Below are 19,675 nucleotides of genomic sequence, written 5' to 3' on the forward strand. Positions count from 1 at the left end.
TGAGACTTAAAATTCCTCAAATAGCATATACCGTTAATATTTTATATTTTCCTTACCATATTCATTAGTAGTCTAACACTCTGGATTAAATGGCAGACTTAACGGTGTTAGCAGACATGAATTCACTTTACACAAAATGTTGTAGACCACAAAATCCACTTTTATTTGGTAGTTTTTACATCTATGGCCAAATAGTATTGGGTTGACACAGTAATCTAGAGTTTACCTCTGAAAAAAAGTAATGTGAGTCTGTCTAACCATATTTTCCTAACTCAACAGTAGGATCATGATGGTAAGGCAAATGCAAGTTATTTTTACCATGATTCTCAAATGTGAATTGAATGTTACAGTAGCAAATACTTTTGACCTCTTGTGATGAGTCAGAACTAGAACTTAATTCTTTGACTTTCACATTTTTTAAAAAGTGTATTGCTGGGATCATAAACATTTTATGTTGTGCATTTTTATTACATTTACTTTTGAAAGATAGTTGTTAGAAGGTTAGTTGTTTTTCAGGAAAAAAAAGAAATCTGATGTAAAAATGCAAATTTATGTTGCAGGATGCTTCATGAGTCCCTTCAAGTGGTTTAAAACTACATCAACAGTAGTTGTTTATTACTAGTTGGAAATTCCAGGGCACACAAATGAATGTCCAATTGTAGAATCAGTTGACTTTCCATGTCATGGCTACCACTGTTTAGTAGGTAATTTACAATAGAAAACTAATTATTGAAAAGAACAAAGTTCCAAATTTGTAGTGGGTAGTGAGGTACATCTTTTTTTAAATGAAGGGCCATTTCCCATGAATTTTACTCCAGCTGTTTGGAGCAGAAGAAAATGATTGATCATACCCTTTCTTGTTTTCTTGTTCCCTGATACCTCCCCACTTTTGTTCTTTAGCAGCAACACTCAGTTATTTTGGTAAATTATTTCCAGGTAAAACAGAACAAAAATTGTATGAAAAGTAACGCCAGGAATAGGTTTTGTATAGAAGCTCTCCTTTTAAACACTGCTCTTTGGTTATAAGCTAAGAATTATTATTGGAATTGACAGCAATAATTTTTAAGCCAAAAGTGTATATTTTAGCTAAATGTTCCAGATTACGCAGTAAATACCCAAGTGAGTAATTGGCAAGAAATGAGGTAAATGAGTTCAGATATTCAAATGATTAAAAGTAAGTCTGCATATTAATAGTAGCCTTCAAAGTAATTCTGATGTTCATATTTAATATCATTTAACATTTATACATATTAGTCACTGGAGCTTTACTTGGAGTACATCCACACGAAAAACCAATTATTTATTAAATTTTCCTTTCTTAGCAATAGCCTCTAAATTTGCAGGCCCACCCCAAACTGTTCCTAAAAGATCTCTTTCGTTCTGTAATGCTTCCTCCAAATATAGCTCTCTGCCTGAACAAACAGATTTTTTCAAAGCTCTAATTACTTCCGGTGGCCCTTGGATGAATTGCTTTAGCCATTCTTGTGCCTCTTCTAGAGATTTAGTTTCATCTGAAGACTGCAAGACCTCTTCAACCATTCCTATGTTTAGAGCATTTTTTGAATCCAGTTTAAGGGCCCCACTCAACACTTTGAGAGCTTGTCTACTTCCGATTATTTCAACTAGCCGGGTGGTGCCACCCCAGCTTGGTATTATGCCCATCTCTTTGTGGACGAATCTGATCTTACTCTCTGGAGTCATTAACCTGTAAAAGAAAAAAGAAAAGCTTAATTGTAACTCTCTCTGTATGCTCTAATCATAAAGTACTATCCATTCATGATCTGATGTGAATTCTCCATAGATCTTTATAGGTAGGTATATTAAAAACAATGTTTGAAAAATATGGCTGTTTCATCTAGAATTTAATTTACTAATAGTATTTAAAACTTCCCTTTGAAAACAGTATCATTTTTTGTTGTGCTTGTTTACCCTTTGCAAACAAGAACCTTCTAAAAGCCCAAAGTTGATCTTTCTTAAGTGAGTGGTGACCTAATGAGAGGATGTGGATCAAGTGAAAGTATGGGAGTAGGAAATGTTAGGTGCATACTAAGAAAAACAAACCGAAAAGCATAGTAAGTTAAGGTTCTCAAAAGTCCTTAGTGGGGAAAAATGCTTTTTAAATACAGCATCTATTCAGCAAGTATTTACAAAGAACTACCAGTGCCAGGTGGTGGTTTAGGTGCTGAGACTACAGGAATGACCAAAACAAAACCCTTGTGCTCAGGAGCTGTTTTCAGTTTGGAGAGAAAGGCATTAAACCATATAAAGTCAGTGGCAATGAGTGCTTTATAGCAAAAAGAGAAAAAGAAAATGAGGCAGGAGACAAATGAATTGAGGATATGTGTGCTGGGGGTGTGCTATTTTCGATGAAGAAGGACACTGAATATTTGAGCAGCCACCTGAGGAAATGAGCAATGCAAAAATCTGGGAAAAGATGTTCCAGGAAGAAGGAATTGCAAGTGCAAAAGTCTTGAAGTAGAGAACTGCTTAGTATCTCTGGGGACGAGTACAGTGTAACTGGAACATGGGGGATAAAATGAGAAGCATACTTAACAGGCCTTAGTAAGGAGTTCGGATTTTATTTTTTAAGTGTAAAGTTATTTAGAGGAGGTCAACCAAAGCATTAACATCTGACATTTTACAAGGGCTGCTCTAGTTGCCATGTGCATGAAGAGCTTATTTAGCATTTCAAAGCTCTTATACCTTTTTTTTTTTTTTTTTTTAAGGAACTGGCAATACAGCTATTGCAGAGCTAGGATTTAAACCCAGGCAGGTTGGCTTCAGTTATCTTCATGGTACACATAATAGCTAGACGAGGTGGAAGCAGGGATACCAGTAAGAAAGTTATTGATAGTGGCTTGGATTAGACTGATAGCAGTGAGTTTCCCTAACGGGTTCATTTTCCCCAGTCATGGGATTTTTATGAATAGGATGATTAATAAGAAAGTATAACAATAAAGGGGAGTTAACATTTGCCAGTTCAACAGACTGAGTAAAGCTACACGATTTAGCTTTACTAAATAAACGCCCATGCGTTTTATTTTGACTGCATGCTTCAAGAAGCTTTCACTTTCAAATTACTCATTACAAAAAAGAAGACCTTAAGTTGGGTTGGCTTTCCAACGTGTTAAATACTCAAATGCAGGTGATTTGGTTCTATTAGCACTAAGAACAAAAAACTCAGTCTTTGACCCGAGAGAATTCTGACAAATGCCAACTTATTAACTCACTGGGAAACTTTCTCTTCACAGCTGTGAATTTCTACAAAGGAAAATATGCCTCCATTATGAACAATTGCTTCTAGAGGCAAATAGCTATGAAAAATAATAGTTTTCAAGAAATAATTTTAAAATTGGGAGGAAAAAAGAACAAGTCTTATAAAAATCTGAATTTATCACAATATTGTAAGAGGAGTACTGCCTTGTTAAAACAATATCAAAAGGAATAGAAATTACAGAAATAATGTCTAATATTCTTAGAAATAGGAATATTGTCAATATTGAACCCAATCCTATAAAGCTTTTTACATAATACACTAAATATGTAACTGTTCTGAATTGAATCCTAGAATTGGTTCAGAGCTGTGCCTATAATGGAGTAAAGGACTATGCCAGGAATAGATTCATTTAGAATCAGCTGAACATAAAAACTGGTTAAAGTCCTAGATGTTGGAATAATGTAGATGAGCTTATGACAACAAAAGTTATTACCTATGTAAGCACATTCATATTTGGAATTATTTGCTTCTAAAGAAAAATCATCATCTCTATGGTGATTTTTTTCCATTTGCCTTATTTTATAAGGTAAAGTGTGTCTTTTGGAATCATATTTTACAACTCCAACAAATCTTGAGGTTATCTTTGTAAAAATACCTTTTGTGATCAAAATCTAACATCCATTCTTTGCAAATTGTATACCTCGGGTGTGCTTATGTACTGATATACATTAAATATATATTAAATAAATATGACCAAAAAATTCATTGGTGATAAAAGAACACAAGTAGTTTCCTCTAATAAACAGAGCATTCAGATGGTAACCTTTACAGGACTCTTTTAACCTAAAAATGAAAGTTTAAATATAAAATTTAAAATGCTGAAAAACCTAATTTAAGAAGGACATTATTATATTAACAACAAGATATATCCCAAAATAGTTTCCTGATAGACCCTACAGGATTATACACTAATTCTTTCTAGAGTTTAGATGCAGTTACCTAGTAATATAATTATTGCAAGGGATAATCTACGTAGAGTAATGGAAGACTTAGCTCTTATAATTTTGAAGACTAATGACAGACTCAATTTATAAAACCATATTAAACTTGCTTATTTTGACAAGTAAAAGAATGATAAGTGTCTTCTAACTGTTTAATAGCATAATCATTGGCAATGTTTAAAATTTCCTCTGACATCCTGGGGCAAAGGAGATGAGATTAATCAAATGTGGATATATTTCTTGTTACTACTGTCTGGATGAAACAATGTTATAAGAAAGACTACTCATAACTGGGGAAAGAGTTACACCTTTGACAGGTGATACAAAGTCAAGTGTTGATGATACCAGGAAGGACTGTTCAGTGAGTTACTACTTCTTGATGAGTTAACTCTTAAGTTTCAGGTCTTGAACAAATGTATTCAAGAACATTCTAAAAAGAAATTACCAAATTTTACTAAAATAGGAAGTTTTTAGTGGAAAAGTTGCAAAAAAACAGCCTTTTTGTAATGTTGATTATTAAAGCAAGGTACTTCTAGTAAATTCTGTGATGAAGGATGGAAATATAAATAATTGAATTGGAAGAGTGTACAGCTTTGATGTGAAGTGCATACACTCAGAAGCCAGACTGCTGGGCTTGAAATCCTAGGATGGCCACTAGACTGGCTACATATCCACACATTGTAAAATACAGCAAAGGCAAAAGAAACATGGTACAAAGAGGAGAGGAAGATTCATCTCTAGATCTTAGGAAGTTACTTAACATCTCTGTGTCTCTTGATAGATACTTTGAACATATGTACTCCACAATTCTTTTATAGATAGAGTGTGTCTGTATGTTTTAAAAAATTGTGTGAAATTGCCTCAAACACATCTACAAGAGAATACAGTATTACCTACTTTTATTTGGAAATATAAAAGTTGTATATATTTTGTAGTCTGATACATAATAAACTCTGTATACTAGCTTTTAATACTATTAAGTTGGTGGTATTGATAGGTCCGTAAAAATAACAGTAGTGTTTCTGCTAGTGAAGTAGTATAAAGTTGTCCCCTGGACTAAAATCCCATAATCTCTAAAATATTCAGAGTAAAAGAGCTATACTCAACACTGTATAACCAGCAAATACTCTTCTTCTTCGATGTTGGTTTTATAAATGGAGAGCACAAGAAATATTCAATTTTTATATTGCCAAATAAAGTTAGAAATAATACTGTATTCTAATACAGATATGGTTGAAGCAGAAGATTGCAAGCTGATCTTTTTTAAAAAACAGGTAAGACAGTTATCCCTCTAAGATTTCTTAGAACTGTCCAATACAAGTAACAAGATAAATATCTTGAAATTTTAAAGAAAACCATTGATGTTACAAAATTAACATGATGTTATACATTTAAAGTTTGGAATCACTGATTTAAATATAAATAAGCTTTAGTGTAGGGCCAGAAACGGCTAGTCCTTTTACACTGATTGCATAAAGGGCCAAAGACAACAAAGTAAACTTGCTCGCATGGGGAAATATAGCATAGAAAATTATAGAATTCGCAACAGCATCTCTGACCACAAACAATACTTTAAAATTATGCCTCGAACATAAACTTACTTGTTCACACGTATATTTTCCTGGCACTTTCTCCCTTTTGTTTTCTACCATCTATAACATCACAAAACAATGGAAAAGAGAAAGAACCCAAAAATTCTCCCTATAATCTCACCTTTCTGATTTCCAAGTCTCAGATGATTGGCTTCATGAGTTTCCATTCATTATATGCAAACAGACTGCTTGAGTAAGAAGGTATATAGTCGAATGTGTGAAAACTTTTATTTGTTGTGTGGTTGTGAGGGGGGGAGCAGATATAAAAATGTTTTGTGATACTGAAGTCTGATTTTAACATTTAGTAATCCTGGCATGATCAGAGGTAAATTTTCTTGATGTCACAGCTCTAAAGTAAGAACTTCCAAGTAATGTGATAACTACAAAACAAAGCATCATGGGCAGTGTGACTACTTCCTGAGGTGGACATCTCCTATTCAGAGTAAAGTTACTTCCAAATCAAAAATGGGATTTGTTATTTTTGAATTGGGGTGGGGGCGGGATTGTGTGTGTGCATGCATTTATTTGTGTGTGCAAGTGTGTGTAATATTGTACTTTATGAAGCCAGTATTTTTTTTTTTTTTGAGACAGAGTCTCACTCTGTTGCCCAGGCTGGAGTGTAGTGGTACAATCTTGGCTCACTGCAACCTCTGCCTCCTGGGTTCAAGTGATTCTCCTGCCTCAGCCTCCCAAGTAGCTGGGATTACAGGTGCCCGCCACCAAGCCCAGCTAATTTTTGTATTTTTAGTATAGACGAGGTTTCACCATGTTGGCCAGGCTGGTCTTGAACTCCTTACATCAGGTGATCCACCCACTTCGGCCTCCCAAAGTGCAAAAGGCTACCTTGTAAGTTCCCTTGGGATAAGAACGTTTACAGCTCCCTTTCTTTATAATATACTTTGAACTAATGGCTAGCAGCTGGAAATGCTAATACCTTGGCTGAGGGTTATTTATATTGATGAAAACAGCATTAGAGGTTGAAAACAGATAGGCAGGCTCTAAATTGGATAGTTGAGAATTTTATTTCACTAGGGAGGAATAAAAATGTGCTTTTCATTTGGTGTATAAACAGCTCAATATCCCAAAGGAGAAATGGGAAAAGAAAATGCAGAGAATTCATACACATATAAATCAACCAACATATGAAAATTTATGCATCACCAAAAATCTCTAAAAAGGCAAATTTAATTTTTGATTATCAAAATTATAAAAGATATCTTAAAAGATTATACTCATTGTAAGAAAGGATGCTCTCAAATAGACACTTATTTTCTGCTGGTGGTAATATAAATTAGTAGAATCTTTCCTAGAAGATAACGTGGCTATTACCAAAAGCCTTGAACACTGCATATCCTTTCATTAAGTATTTGTGCTACTTACATGATTTTTTCAGGAAATAATCTGAAATGTGGATAAAGCCTTTTGCATAAGGTAATTATCACAGCATTAATCATTTTAGAGAAAAATTGGAAACAACAGACCTAACTGCAAGTGGAAATCTAGTACACGATCAGGTGTTACCTCAAATCACTGGAACACAGAAGGCAGAAGGCTTTCTAAAACAAATAGTGTTGGGACAAATTGCCATTTGGAAAAAAGATGAAATAAGATCCATTACTCACAGCATACATGAAAATAAGCTCAAAATGGATTAGATATATAAATGTAAAACACAAAACCATTCAAGTACTAGAAGAAACACGCATGAACTTTTCTATAACCTTGATATATGGAAAGGCTTTTAAACTACCACTTGAAATCCAGATGCAACTTTTAAAAAGATTGATAGATATGACTACTTTTGTGTGTGTGTGTCTGTTTTTTTTTAGACAGGGTCTTATTACTCCATTGCCCAGGCTGGAGTGCAGTGGCACGATCTTGGCTCATTGCAACCTCCGCCTCCCAGGTTCAAGTGACTCTCCTGCCTCAGCCTCCAGAGTAGCTGCAACTACACGTGCGCCATCACACCCGGCTAAATTTTTATACATTTTTAGTAGAGACAGGGTTTCACCATACTGGCCAGGCTGGTCTCAAACTCCTGATCTTGTGATCCGCCTGCCTCGGCCTCCCACAGTGGACCATGTTTTTTTAAAAAGGCTTGTGTGGCAAAAAAGAATAAAAACAAAAAACAAGCAAAGTCAAAAAACAAGCTGAGCAAATATATGCAAAACACTTCACAGATAATGACATTATCCCTAATACTTGAAGAACTTTAAAAAATTGAAGGAAAAAAACAAATATCCTGTTGAGAAATAAGCAAAATATGAATAAATAATTCACCAAAAAAAATTTTTTAATGGTCCTTAAGACATATGAAACTATAATCAACTTCACTTTAATATAAATGGGCTGTGCGCAGTGGCTCATGCCTGCAATCCCAGCACTTTGGGAGGCTGTGGATCACTTGAGCTCACAAGTTTGAGACCAGCCTGGGCAACATGACAAAACCCCGTCTCTACAAAAAATACACAAATTAGCCAAGTGTGGTGGTGCACTCCTGTAGTCCCAGTTACTCCGGAGGCTGAGGTGGGAGGATGACTTGAGTCCTAGAGGCGGAAGTTGCAGTGAGCAGTGATCGTACCACTATACACCCCAGCCTGGGTGAGACAGAGCAAGACCTTGCCTCAAAAAGAAAAAAAAAGAGAAAAAAAAGAAATGCATATTAAAACTATGCTGAAATATTGTTCCTTACCCATGAAATTGGCAAATTCCAAAGCTTAATAGTAGGCTCTGTTGACAAGGCTAAGTGAAACAGACTAGAGGGAATGCAAGACTTGTCTATCTCTTATGGAAGAAAATTAGGCAATAATTAATAAATATTCATTAACTCATTAATATTTATTTAACTTTTGATTTAGCAATCCTATTTCTAGTGTTTATCCTTAAGATATGCCATTAGTATTACTAAAAAGTATAGATAAAGTTATTCACTACAACATTCTAACATATTCAAGACATAAAATAAGGCTGGAAACAAGGGAAAAAATTTAAACTGAATGCAAAAACTAAATCAAGGTATTTTCAAATGAAATCACATTGAGGGATAAGAAAAGGAAAAATCAGGCAGACAGCTAAGGCTAGTCCTTGGAGAAATAGCCTGAAAAATCACAGCTACAGGCACAAACAGAACAACCTGGGGAAAAACTAAACTGCAACTACACTAATAAGAAAGCAAGGCCCAACAGAGAAGCCTTTTTTCCTTTGTGTGATTAGCGGGCTTCCAGGAAAAAGGTTCCTCCCCTTTTCAGGCATATACATGGTAGGCTCTGTGGGAACCTGCAAAGGAATGGGGGTGGGCTTACCTGAAACAGACCTGCAGTTAAACAAACAAGAGAAGCTTCACTTTGTGCTTACCCAAGACATACCCACAGCTGCAGAGATAAGGAGAGTTACACAAATAGCTACAGAGATGAGGGGAGTTTCTTATAAAAGCTTTTGGATTCAACTGTAAAAACAGCAACCCACTCAGGCCCCCTCTCCACTACAAAGAGCTTTCTTCTTTCACTTATTAAACTTTGACTCCAACCTCCCCCTTGCGTCCATGCTCCTTAGTTTTCTTGATTGTGAGACAAGGAGCTCGGATAACACCTCAGACAACGAGACCATTCACCCCAGACCATTTCAACATCAAAGAAGGAGAAACAACAAAAACAACAGTGAACTAATGTAAGTAACTTTTGGACACAGTACAATACTTTATTTACCCTTAGTCTGGGTGAAAAAAATATATGATACACAAAGATAAAACACAATAGCAAAATGTTAAAAATTGTTGGACCTGAATGAATGGCACAGGGAAATTATTTGTATTACTGTCACGCCTTTCCTGCAAGTTTGTAATTATTTCAAAATTAAAAATTAAAAAATACAATTCCAGTTTCTCTCTCACACCAAATTCAATAGTAAAATATTAAATATTAGACATATAAAAATGTGTACATGCTTTTTTTTGCCAAAAGTTGATGCTAAAAGCCAAGCAGTCTGAGTTTGTCATTTTCTATTTTCTAAGGTAGTTTTGAGAGATTTTTCTCTATTTTCCCATGTTTTTAGAATAACTGGAATTAGAAAGTAGAATCAAGGAATGAGTGTTTTAAGTACTTCCTGAAGCACATTCTGGAATCTTGATCTTGAAACCAAGCTAACCATCCATACTACAGGTATAATTATGTTTAAAATAATGTCTATATCAGAGAATCCTTTATAAATAAGGTATACAGTCATGCACTGAATAACAACATTTTAGTCAGCAATGGACTGTATGACAATGATCCCATAAGATTATAATGGGGCTGAAAAATTTCTATAGCCTGGTGACATCATCGCCATTGTAATGTCATAGAACAATGCTTTACTCACATTTTTGTGGTGATGCTGTTAAAAACAAACTTACTGCACTGCTACCTGTACAGAAGTATAGCACATACAATTATGTATGTTACATAATACTTGATAATAATAAATGACCATGTTAATGGTTCGGGTATTTACTGTACTATATTTTTTTTTTTTTTGAGAAAGGGTCTCACTCTGTCCCGCAGGCTGGAGTGCAGTGGTGCCATAATGGCTCAATGCAGCCTTGACCTCCTGGCCTCAAGCGATCCTCCTGCCTCATCCTCCCTCAGGAATGGGACTACAGGCGTGTGCCACCATGCCTGGCTATTTTTTTTATTTTTTGTGTCTCACTATGTTGCCCAGGCTGGTCTCCAACTCCTGAGCTCAAGCAATCCTCCTGCCTTGGCCTTCCAAAATGCTGGGATTGCAGGCATAAGCCACCACAGCTGACCTATACTTTTTATGTTATTTTAGAGTGTTATTTTACTTTTATATGTAGAAAATTAAATGTAAAATAGCCTCAGGCAGGTCCTTCAGGAGGAATTCCAGAAGACAGCATTATTATCATAGGAGATCACAGCTCCATGCATGTTACTGCCCCTGAAGATGTTCCAGTGGGGTAAGATGTGGAGGGGTAGGACAATGATATATGTGGAGGGGTAGGACAATGATATGGATGATCCTGACTCTATGTAGGCCTAGGCTAATGTGTGTGTTTGTCTTAGCTTTTAATAAAAAAAAAAAAAAACTTTTAAAAAAGATGAATAAAATAAAAATAGAAAAAGCTTATAGAATAAGGATATAAAAAAAGAAAATACTTTCGTTCAGCTGTAAAATGTGTTTGTGTTTTACATGAAGTGCTATTACAAAAGAATAAAAAAGTTTTTTAAAATTAAAAAGCTTATATAGTACAAAAGTTACAGTTAATACTGTCTTCTGGAATTTCTTCTGAAGGACCTGCCTGAGGCTGTTTACATTTAATTTTTTATGTGTAAAAGTAAAAGGAGTACATTCTAAGTGTACAGTAATGTCCTAGGCCTTCACATTCACTTGCCACTCACTCACTCACTTACCCAGAGAGACTTTCAGTCCTGCAAGCTCGATTCACCATAAATACCCTATATGAGCATTCAATTTTTTATCTTTTATACAGTATTTTTACTGTACCTTTTCATTTAGATACACAAATACTTACCATTGTGTTACAACTGCCTATAGTATTCAATACAGTAACAGGCTTTACAGGTTTGTAGCCTAGGAGCAATAAGCTATACCATATAGCCGAGGTATGTAGTAAGCTGCACCCTAGATGGTATCATTAGGTTTGTTTAGCTACATACTATGATGTCTGCACAACAACAAAATCACGTAATGACACATTTGTCATAATGTGTTCCTATCATTAAGCAATACATGACTGTATGTGGGTACTATTACTGTTTTCTAAAAAGCATCTAAGCAAGCATTTAAAAAAATAAAAATACAGTTTACAAAATTAACTTAGAGTAACAAAGTTAGCACTTTTCACTGGCAATCAAACAGAAATATAAAAGTTAGCAACAAATCTGACAATTAAATTCCCTATGCCAAGCCCATACGTGGTAGGTAGATTGGCCCCGAAGAGATGACCTAATCTCTGGCAACTGTGCATGTGTTACCATACATGGCAAAAGAGACTGCAGATGTAACTAAAGTTAAATCCTTAAAATAGGAAAATTATCCTGGATTAACTGAGTGGACCCAATCTAATCATGAGAACACTTAAAAGCAGAGAAATGTTTCCAGCTGTAGTCAGAGAAATGCAGCATAAGGATAAATAAGAGAGATTCAAAGTATGAGAGGAACTTGACTCACCACTGCTGGAGGAGCCACATGGAAAGCATGAGAAAGAATTCAGAAAGCATCTAGGAGCAAAGACTCATCCCCCATCTGGCAGCAAGGAAACAGGGACTTCAGTCCTTCAAGTGCATGTAACCAAATTCTACCAGTTGGAACCTGGGTGAGCCTGGGAATGAATCCTCCCCTAGAGTCTTCAGAGCCCACTGCAACTGACACTTAGATTTTGGTCTCATGAGACAAGGTTTAGAAAAACCAGCTGAGCCCAGCTAGACTTCAGACCTATACATCTGTGAGATAATAACGTGTTGTTTTAAGCCACAGAATTTGTGGTAGTTTGTTATAGCAGCAATAGAAAACTACATGTATTAGCATTTTCTTAATTTATATTTCATTCTAAATATCTTTAATTTGTCAAGGTGGATTAAAAAATGAGAGGCTATATTACCACATTTCTAGCTTTTCATTTCCTCACATTAATTTTGTCACTAAAATGGAAACATAATGCTTGACTAGATTCTGACCATTGAAAAATACCAATTTTTAATTCATGTTAGTCTTTTACTTTTAAAAATGTTTTTTAAAAGCCATTTTCTCTTGGAATATTTTACATGAAAAGTATGACTCAAGTGAGGGTCTATCTATGCAAAGTAGAACTGAGTGTTTCCGACATACGTATACATTACATCTATTACCAGCTGGTGCTCACAGGGTTTTGCGGGAAGGGGACAGTGTTAGAATGCTACATGAGTTCATTTCTTTTATATATTCATATTAAGTGTATCTCCATCTGCTGAAGTACTTCCATTGGCATGGATGAAAATGTCAGTTGAGTGAATTCCAGGCAATTCTCCAAGGTAAGAAAGTTAAACAAGCGAAAAGGGCCAACACATATAAAGAAGGAACTTATCTTTTTAGCAAACGCTATGAAAGCTTTCGGTGTTTTTTTAGAACAAGCAGACATTCTTAGGAAATAATTAAAATAATCTGTCATAGAAAGTAACTGATGAGGTACTGATAAAATTAAGTGGAAAAAATCAGCTAGAGGAACTTGTACTGATTTATCACTTCCTGGAAACTGGGGCTAGTAATGTAGTTCATTCAGTATGCAATCCTCTCTATTAGCCTCTAACATTTAAGAACTATAGTTGCTTTTGGTATGCGGGTTTTAAAAGGGCTGAGTAGCCTAGGACAGTGCTTGTCAAATTTCTCTGGTCAAGGATCAATTTCTTCTTCATTTTTAAAGAAACTTTCTAATCGATTGCAGACCAATAATTTTGTAAAATATAACAAAAACATATTACTAGAAAAATGAAACAAAAAACCAAGACACAAGGTTTGTGAATGGCTGTGCCTAGCACATGTGGGTGCTGAAATATGTTTAATAAACAGACACCACTTTCAGAAAAGCTGGTTCAAAAATGGATAGGTTTTCATCAGAAGCTTCTCAACAAAAGCACCTGGTATATCCAGATACTGAGAGTAGGCAGTACCCTCAGACATCTTGTAACAAATAAAATTAAATATTTAATGAAGCTCTAGGATGCATTACATTTTCTTCAATTAGAGAATGACAGCTAGGCAATTTAGCAGTATTAAAGGATTAAATAATCTCTGATTATTTTTCCTGCTATTGTGCTTTTTTGTCCTAAACCCTAACTACACTTAAACATAGATGAGAAATCAATATGAAGAATAGTACAAAAGTCTAATAAAGGTGAACACCGGAATCTATGTTAGAGGGTTTTCACTTGTTCCAAATAACATCTAAAAAGTCTTAATTTTCATTTCCTTTTACACAGAGGATTTTTCAGTGTAATAATGCACACTTGCATGTAGCTTAAGATTCTTTTTTTTTTTCTTTTTGAGACAGAGTCTCGCTCTTGTTGCCCAGGTTGGAGTGCAGTGCCGCCATCTCAGCTCACTGCAACCTCTGCCTCCCGGGTTCAAGTGATTCTCCTGCCTCAGTCTCCTGAGTAGCTGGAATTACAGGCGCCTGCCACCATGCCCGGCTAATTTTTGTATTTTTAGTAGAGACGGGTTTTCACCAAGTTGGCCAGGCTGGTCTCGAACTCCTGACCTCAGGTGATCCACCCACCTCGATCTCCCAAAGTGCTGGAATTACAGGCCTGACCCACTGTGCCCAGCCTTAAAATTCTTTTAATTATATACTTAGATGTACGTTTTATATTTATATATGTATTGAAATTATATATTTCATAACTACCTGTATTCAGTGTAAAGTGAGGAATGCATTTAATACTTTCACACATACAGCATTTCCTGTTTAGTCTCATATCAAGCATAAAGCCAATGACTGCTTCCTCTTCGCAGAATAAAATGTAATAATAGCAGCATTCTAATGCAATCTGCACTGATGACAGCAGAGGGCACTGTCATATAAAATAACTTTTTTTTATTGTGCATAAGAATTTTGTGCATTATTGAACACTAGTTTTCAAGAGGCTAGGATTTCTGTAAACGGTCTTATATACCAAAAAAACTAGAAAATCTCTATTTGTGTGAGCATGAAGTGACATATTTTAACTGATGAATTGAAACCTGAGTCATAAATTATAAAAAGAAAAATTAATATAAAATTTACTGTTTTTCATAAGTTAGCATACTGAAACTTTTCTCATTCTATTTCTACTACTATATGATGCCATTTATATGAAGTCAAAAAAATAAAAAATATATTTATTATAGAATATTTAGCTTATAAAACTATAAAGGAAAGCAAGAAAGTAATTACCATAAAATTCAGGGTAAAAGCCAAGTTGTGAATACAACAGGAAAGTTCTTGAAGGAAATTCAAAGTGCTAATCCAGTGAACACATGAATAATAAGGAAGCGAAACAGTCTTATTGCCGATGTGAAGAAAGTTTTAGTGGTCTGGATAGAAGACCAAACCAGCCACAGCATTTCCTTAAGCCAAAGGCTAATCCAGAACAAGGCTCTAACTCTCTTCAACACTACAAAGGCTGAGAGTGGTAAGGAAGCTGCAGAAGAAAAATCTGACGCCAGCAGAGGTTGGTTTATGAGGTTTAAGGAAAGAAGTCATCTCCATAATATAAAGGTGCAAACTGAAGCAGTAAGGGGTAACACAGAAGCTGCAGCAAGTGATCCTGAAGATCTAGCTAGGGTTATTGATGAAGGTGGCTACACTAGCTAACAGATTTTTACTGTAATATTAATGATCATTTGGCAGTATTCCCTGTGAGCCAGTGGTGACAGTGGCCATGGGGCGACACTCCTCCACCTTTGGAAAGGGGAGAAAAGACTGGAAAGGTCTATGTCTTGTGGTCTGAGTTACAGCTCAGACAAGTCAGAACACCAGCTAGACTTCTAAAGTTTTTGACTCTAGTGTCAGGCTCCCAGACAGCACCTCTGGACTTTTCCAGAGTCTAGTGGAAATCACCACCCTGCAGGGAAGAACACAGGCCTGGATGGCTTTGCCACTTGCTGATTGTAGAGTCCTAGTCCCTCAAGTGAACATAGGCAGTATCCAGGGGGTGGTTATGGAAGGCCTTGGGCAAGACCCAGTGCTGTGTTAGCTTCAGATGTGACCCAGCACAGTCCTAGTGGCGGTGGCCATAGGGTTACTTAGTTCACTTCACCCTCAGCTCCACGGGGCTCAGCAGAGAGAGAGAGAGATGTCATTTGTTTGGGAGAAAGTGAGGGAAGAGAACAAGAGTCTCTGCCTGGTAATCCAGAGAATTCTTCCGGATCTTCTCCAAGACCATCAAGGCAGTATCTCCAGAAGTCTGCAAGAACCAGAGCATTACGGGGCTTCGGGTGCCCTCTAAAGCAGATACAGCTTAGATCACAACACCTACGTCCTTCTGAATATCTAGAAAGCCTTTCCAAGAAGGACCACTACGAACAAGCTCAGACTGTGAAGATTATAATAAATACCTAATTCTTCAATGCCCAGATACCAAAGAACATCTACAAGTACCAAGGCCGCCTAGGAAAACATGTACCCACCAAATGAACTAAACAAGGCACCACAGACCAATACTGGAAAAAGAGATACGTGACTTTTCAGACAGAGAATTCAAAGTAGCTGTTTTGACAAAACTCAAAGAAATTCAAGATAACACAGAGGAGGAATTCAGAATCCTATCAGATAAATTTAAGAACAAGATTGAAATAAAAAGAACCAAGCAGAAATTCTAGAGCTGAAAAATGCAACTGGCATACTATTGAAGAATGCATCAGAACTTTTTATGGCATAACTTTTTATGGCAGAAATGATCTAGCAGAAGAAAGAATTAGTGAGCTTGAAGACAGGCTATTTGAAAATATAGTCAGAGAAGACAAAAGAAAAAAGATAAAAAAGCATCCCTACAGGATATAGAAAATAGTCTCAAAAGGGCAAATCTAAGAGTTATTGGCCTTAAAGAAGAGGTAGAGCAAGAGACAGGGTTAGAAAGTTTATTCAAAGGAATAATAACAAAGAGCTTCCAACACCTAGAGATAGATATCAATATCCAAGTACAAGAAGGTTATAGAGCAGCAAAGCAGATTGAACCCAAACAAAAGTACCTCAAAGCATTTAATAAACTTCCAAAGGTCAAGGATAAAAACATGGTCTGTAATAAAGAAAGGATCCTAAAAGCAGCAAGAGAAAAGAAACAACACACAATTAAGCTCCAATATGTCTGGGAGAAGACTTTTCAGTGAAAACCTTACAGGCCAGGAGAGAATGGTACGACATACTGCAAGTGCTGAGGGAAAAATCCTTTCATGCTAGAATAGTATATTCTGCAAAAATACCTTCAAACATGAAAGAGAAATAAAGACTTCCAGACAAACAAAAGCTGAGGGATTTCATCAACACCAGACCTGTCCTACAAGAAATATTAAAGGGAGCACTCTAATCAGAAAGAAAACGATGTCAATGAGCCATAAGAAATCATCTGAAGGTAAAAAACTCACTGATAATAGTAAGCATACAGAAAAACACAGAATATTAAAACACTGTAACTGTGTCTTATCTTAAGTAGAAAGACCAAATGATGAACCAATCAAAAATAATAACTACAACTTTTCATGACATAGACAGTATACAACAAAAAATTAAAAAGCCAGAGGATAAAGTTAAGGCATAAAGTTTTTATTATTTTCTTTTTGCATGTTTGCTTGTTTATCCAAACAATGTTCAGTTGTTATCAGCTTAAAATAATGGGTGATAAGATAGTATTTGCAAGCCTAATAAGATGCAGTATTTGCAAGCCAAAAAACATAAAAGATACACAAAACAATTAAAAGCAAGAAGCTAAATCAAATCACTGAGAACATCATCATCACAAAAAGGAAGAAGAAAAGAAAGAGAAGACCACAAAACAACCCAAAAAACAAATAAAATGGCAGGAGTAAGTCCTTACCTACCAATAATAATATTGAATGTACATGGACTAAACTCTCCAATCAAAAGACACAGACTGGTTGATAGATTAAAAAAAAAAAAAAAAGACCAAATGATCTGTTGTGTACCAGAAACACATTTCACCTATAAAGACACACGAAGACTGAAAATAAAGAAATGGAAAAAGATATTCCATGACAATGAAAACAAAAAGAAAACATGAGTATCTATATTTATTTCAGACAAAATAGATTTCAAGACAAAAATTGTTAAGAAGAGATGAAGAAAGTCACTATATAATGATAAATGGGTCAATTAAGCAAGAGGATATGACAATTTTTATGCCACCCATCACTGGAGCACCCAGATATATACAGGAAACATTATTAGAGCTAAAGTGAGAGATAGGCCCCAATACAATAATAGCTAGAGACTTCAACACCCCACGTTCAGCATTTGATACGGTTTGGATTTGGGTCCTCACCCAAATCTCATGTAGAATTGTAATCCCTAATGTTGTAGGAGGAGGTGATTGGATCATGGGGGCAGCCTTCCCCCTTGGTGTTCTTGTGATAGTGAATGAGTTCTCATGAGATTTTGTTTAAAAGTGTGTAGTACCCTTCCCCTTTTCTCTCTTTCTCCTGCTCCAGCCATGTAGGACGTGCCTGCTTCCCCTTCATCTTCTGCCATGAGTGTACATTTCCTGAGGATTCCCCAGCCATGCTTCCTGTACAGCCTGTGGGACTATGAGCCAATTAAACCTCTCTTCTTTATAAATTACCCAGTCTCAGGTAGTTCTTTATAGCAATGCAAGAATGGACTAATACAGCACTGGACAGATCTTAGAGACAAAAAATCAACAAAGAAACATCAGACTTAATCTGCACTATAGAAACAAATGTACCTAATAGATATTCATGCAATATTTCCTCCAAGAGCTGGAGAATACACATTCTTTTCCTCAGCACATGGATCATTCTTAAAAGTAGACCATATGTTTGGTCAAAAGACAAATCTTAAAATATTCAAAAAATTAAAATAATAAACATCTTCTGTGATCACAATGGAAACTACAAATCAATAACAAGAGGAATTTTGGAAACTACACAAATACATGGAAATTAGACAATATGCTCCTGAATGGCCAATGGGTCAATTAAAAAATTAAGAAGGAAACTGAAAATTCTCTTAGAACAAATGATAATGAAGTACAACATACCAAAACCTATGGGATACAGCAAAAGCAGTACTAACAGGGAGTTTATAGCTATAAGTGCCTACATCAAAAAACAAGAAAAATTTCAAATAACCTAATAATGCATCTTAAAGAACTAGAAAAGCAAGAGCAAGCCAAACTCAAAATTAGTAGAAGAAATACTAAAGATCAGAGCAGAAATAAATGAAATCTAAATTAAAAAAATATTGACTGGGCATGGTGGCTCACGCCTGTAATCCCAACACTTTGGGAGACCAAGGCGGGCAGATCACGAGGTCAGGAGTTTGAGACCAGCCTGACCAACATGGTGAAAGCCCATCTCTACTAAAAATACAAAAATTAGCTGGGCATGGTGGCATGCACCTGTAATCCCAGCTACTCAGGAGGCTGAGGCAGGAGAATCACTTGAACCTAGGAGGTGGAGGAGGTTGCAGTGAGCTGAGATTACACCACTGCACTCCAGCCTACTGCACTCCAGCCTGGGTGACAGAGTGATACTCTGTCTCAGAAAAAAAAAAAAAAGACAGAAAGAAAATAATACAAAAGAGCAATGAAACAAAAAGTTGTTTTTTTTGAAAAGTTAAACAAAATTGAAAAATCTCTAGCCAGACTAACAAAGAAAAAAAAAAAGAGAAATTCCAAATAAATAAAACCAGACATGAAAAAGGAGACATTATAACTGATACTGCAGAAATTCAAGGATTATTAGTGGCTACAATGAGCAACTACATGTCAATAAATTGGGAAATCTAGAAGAAATGGACAAATTCCTAGACACATAAAACCTACCAAGATTGAGTAGGAAGAAATTCAAAACCTGAACAGACCAATAACTAGTAAGGAGATTGAAGATGTAATAAAAAGTCTCCCAGTAAAGAAAAGCCCAGGATGCAATGGCTTCATTGCTAAATTCTGCCAAACATTTAAAGAAGAACTAATGGCAATCCTACTCAAACTATTCCGATATTCTGAAAAATAGAGGAGGGGATACTTCCGAACTCATTCTGTGAGGCAAGTATTACCCTGATACCAAACCAGATAAAGACACATCAAAAAAAGAAAACTATAGGCCAATATCTCCAATGAATATTGGTGCAAAAATCATCA

The 19,675-nt window shown here is 35.8% G+C and overlaps 1 protein-coding gene across 7 annotated transcripts in view, besides 1 other annotated feature; it reads right to left on the reverse strand.

Annotated features, from left to right (window-relative positions):
- Positions 1-139: 139 nt before the first annotated feature.
- The window catches only part of ECHDC1 (ethylmalonyl-CoA decarboxylase 1), a 54,898-nt gene continuing 35,362 nt past the window's right edge, over positions 140-19,675 (reverse strand). For all 7 annotated transcript variants that reach the window (NM_001105545.2, NM_001105544.2, NM_018479.4 and 4 more), the window contains one exon: positions 140-1,705. Coding sequence is in view for 5 of the 7 variants with exons in the window: in NM_001105544.2 (NP_001099014.1) it covers positions 1,297-1,705 (409 nt within the window). In the remaining 2 variants the exon portion in view is untranslated. The remainder of the gene's footprint in view (positions 1,706-19,675) is intronic.
- Positions 2,225-2,284: a silencer, noted in NCBI's record as "silent region_17528". NCBI's record gives its function as "represses an Ori minimal core promoter by ATAC-STARR-seq in GM12878 lymphoblastoid cells {active_cell/tissue: GM12878}" and the evidence as "EXISTENCE:reporter gene assay evidence [ECO:0000049][PMID:35858748]".

Source organism: Homo sapiens, chromosome 6, assembly GCF_000001405.40.
Source record: "Homo sapiens chromosome 6, GRCh38.p14 Primary Assembly".
Taxonomy (NCBI): domain Eukaryota; kingdom Metazoa; phylum Chordata; class Mammalia; order Primates; family Hominidae; genus Homo; species Homo sapiens.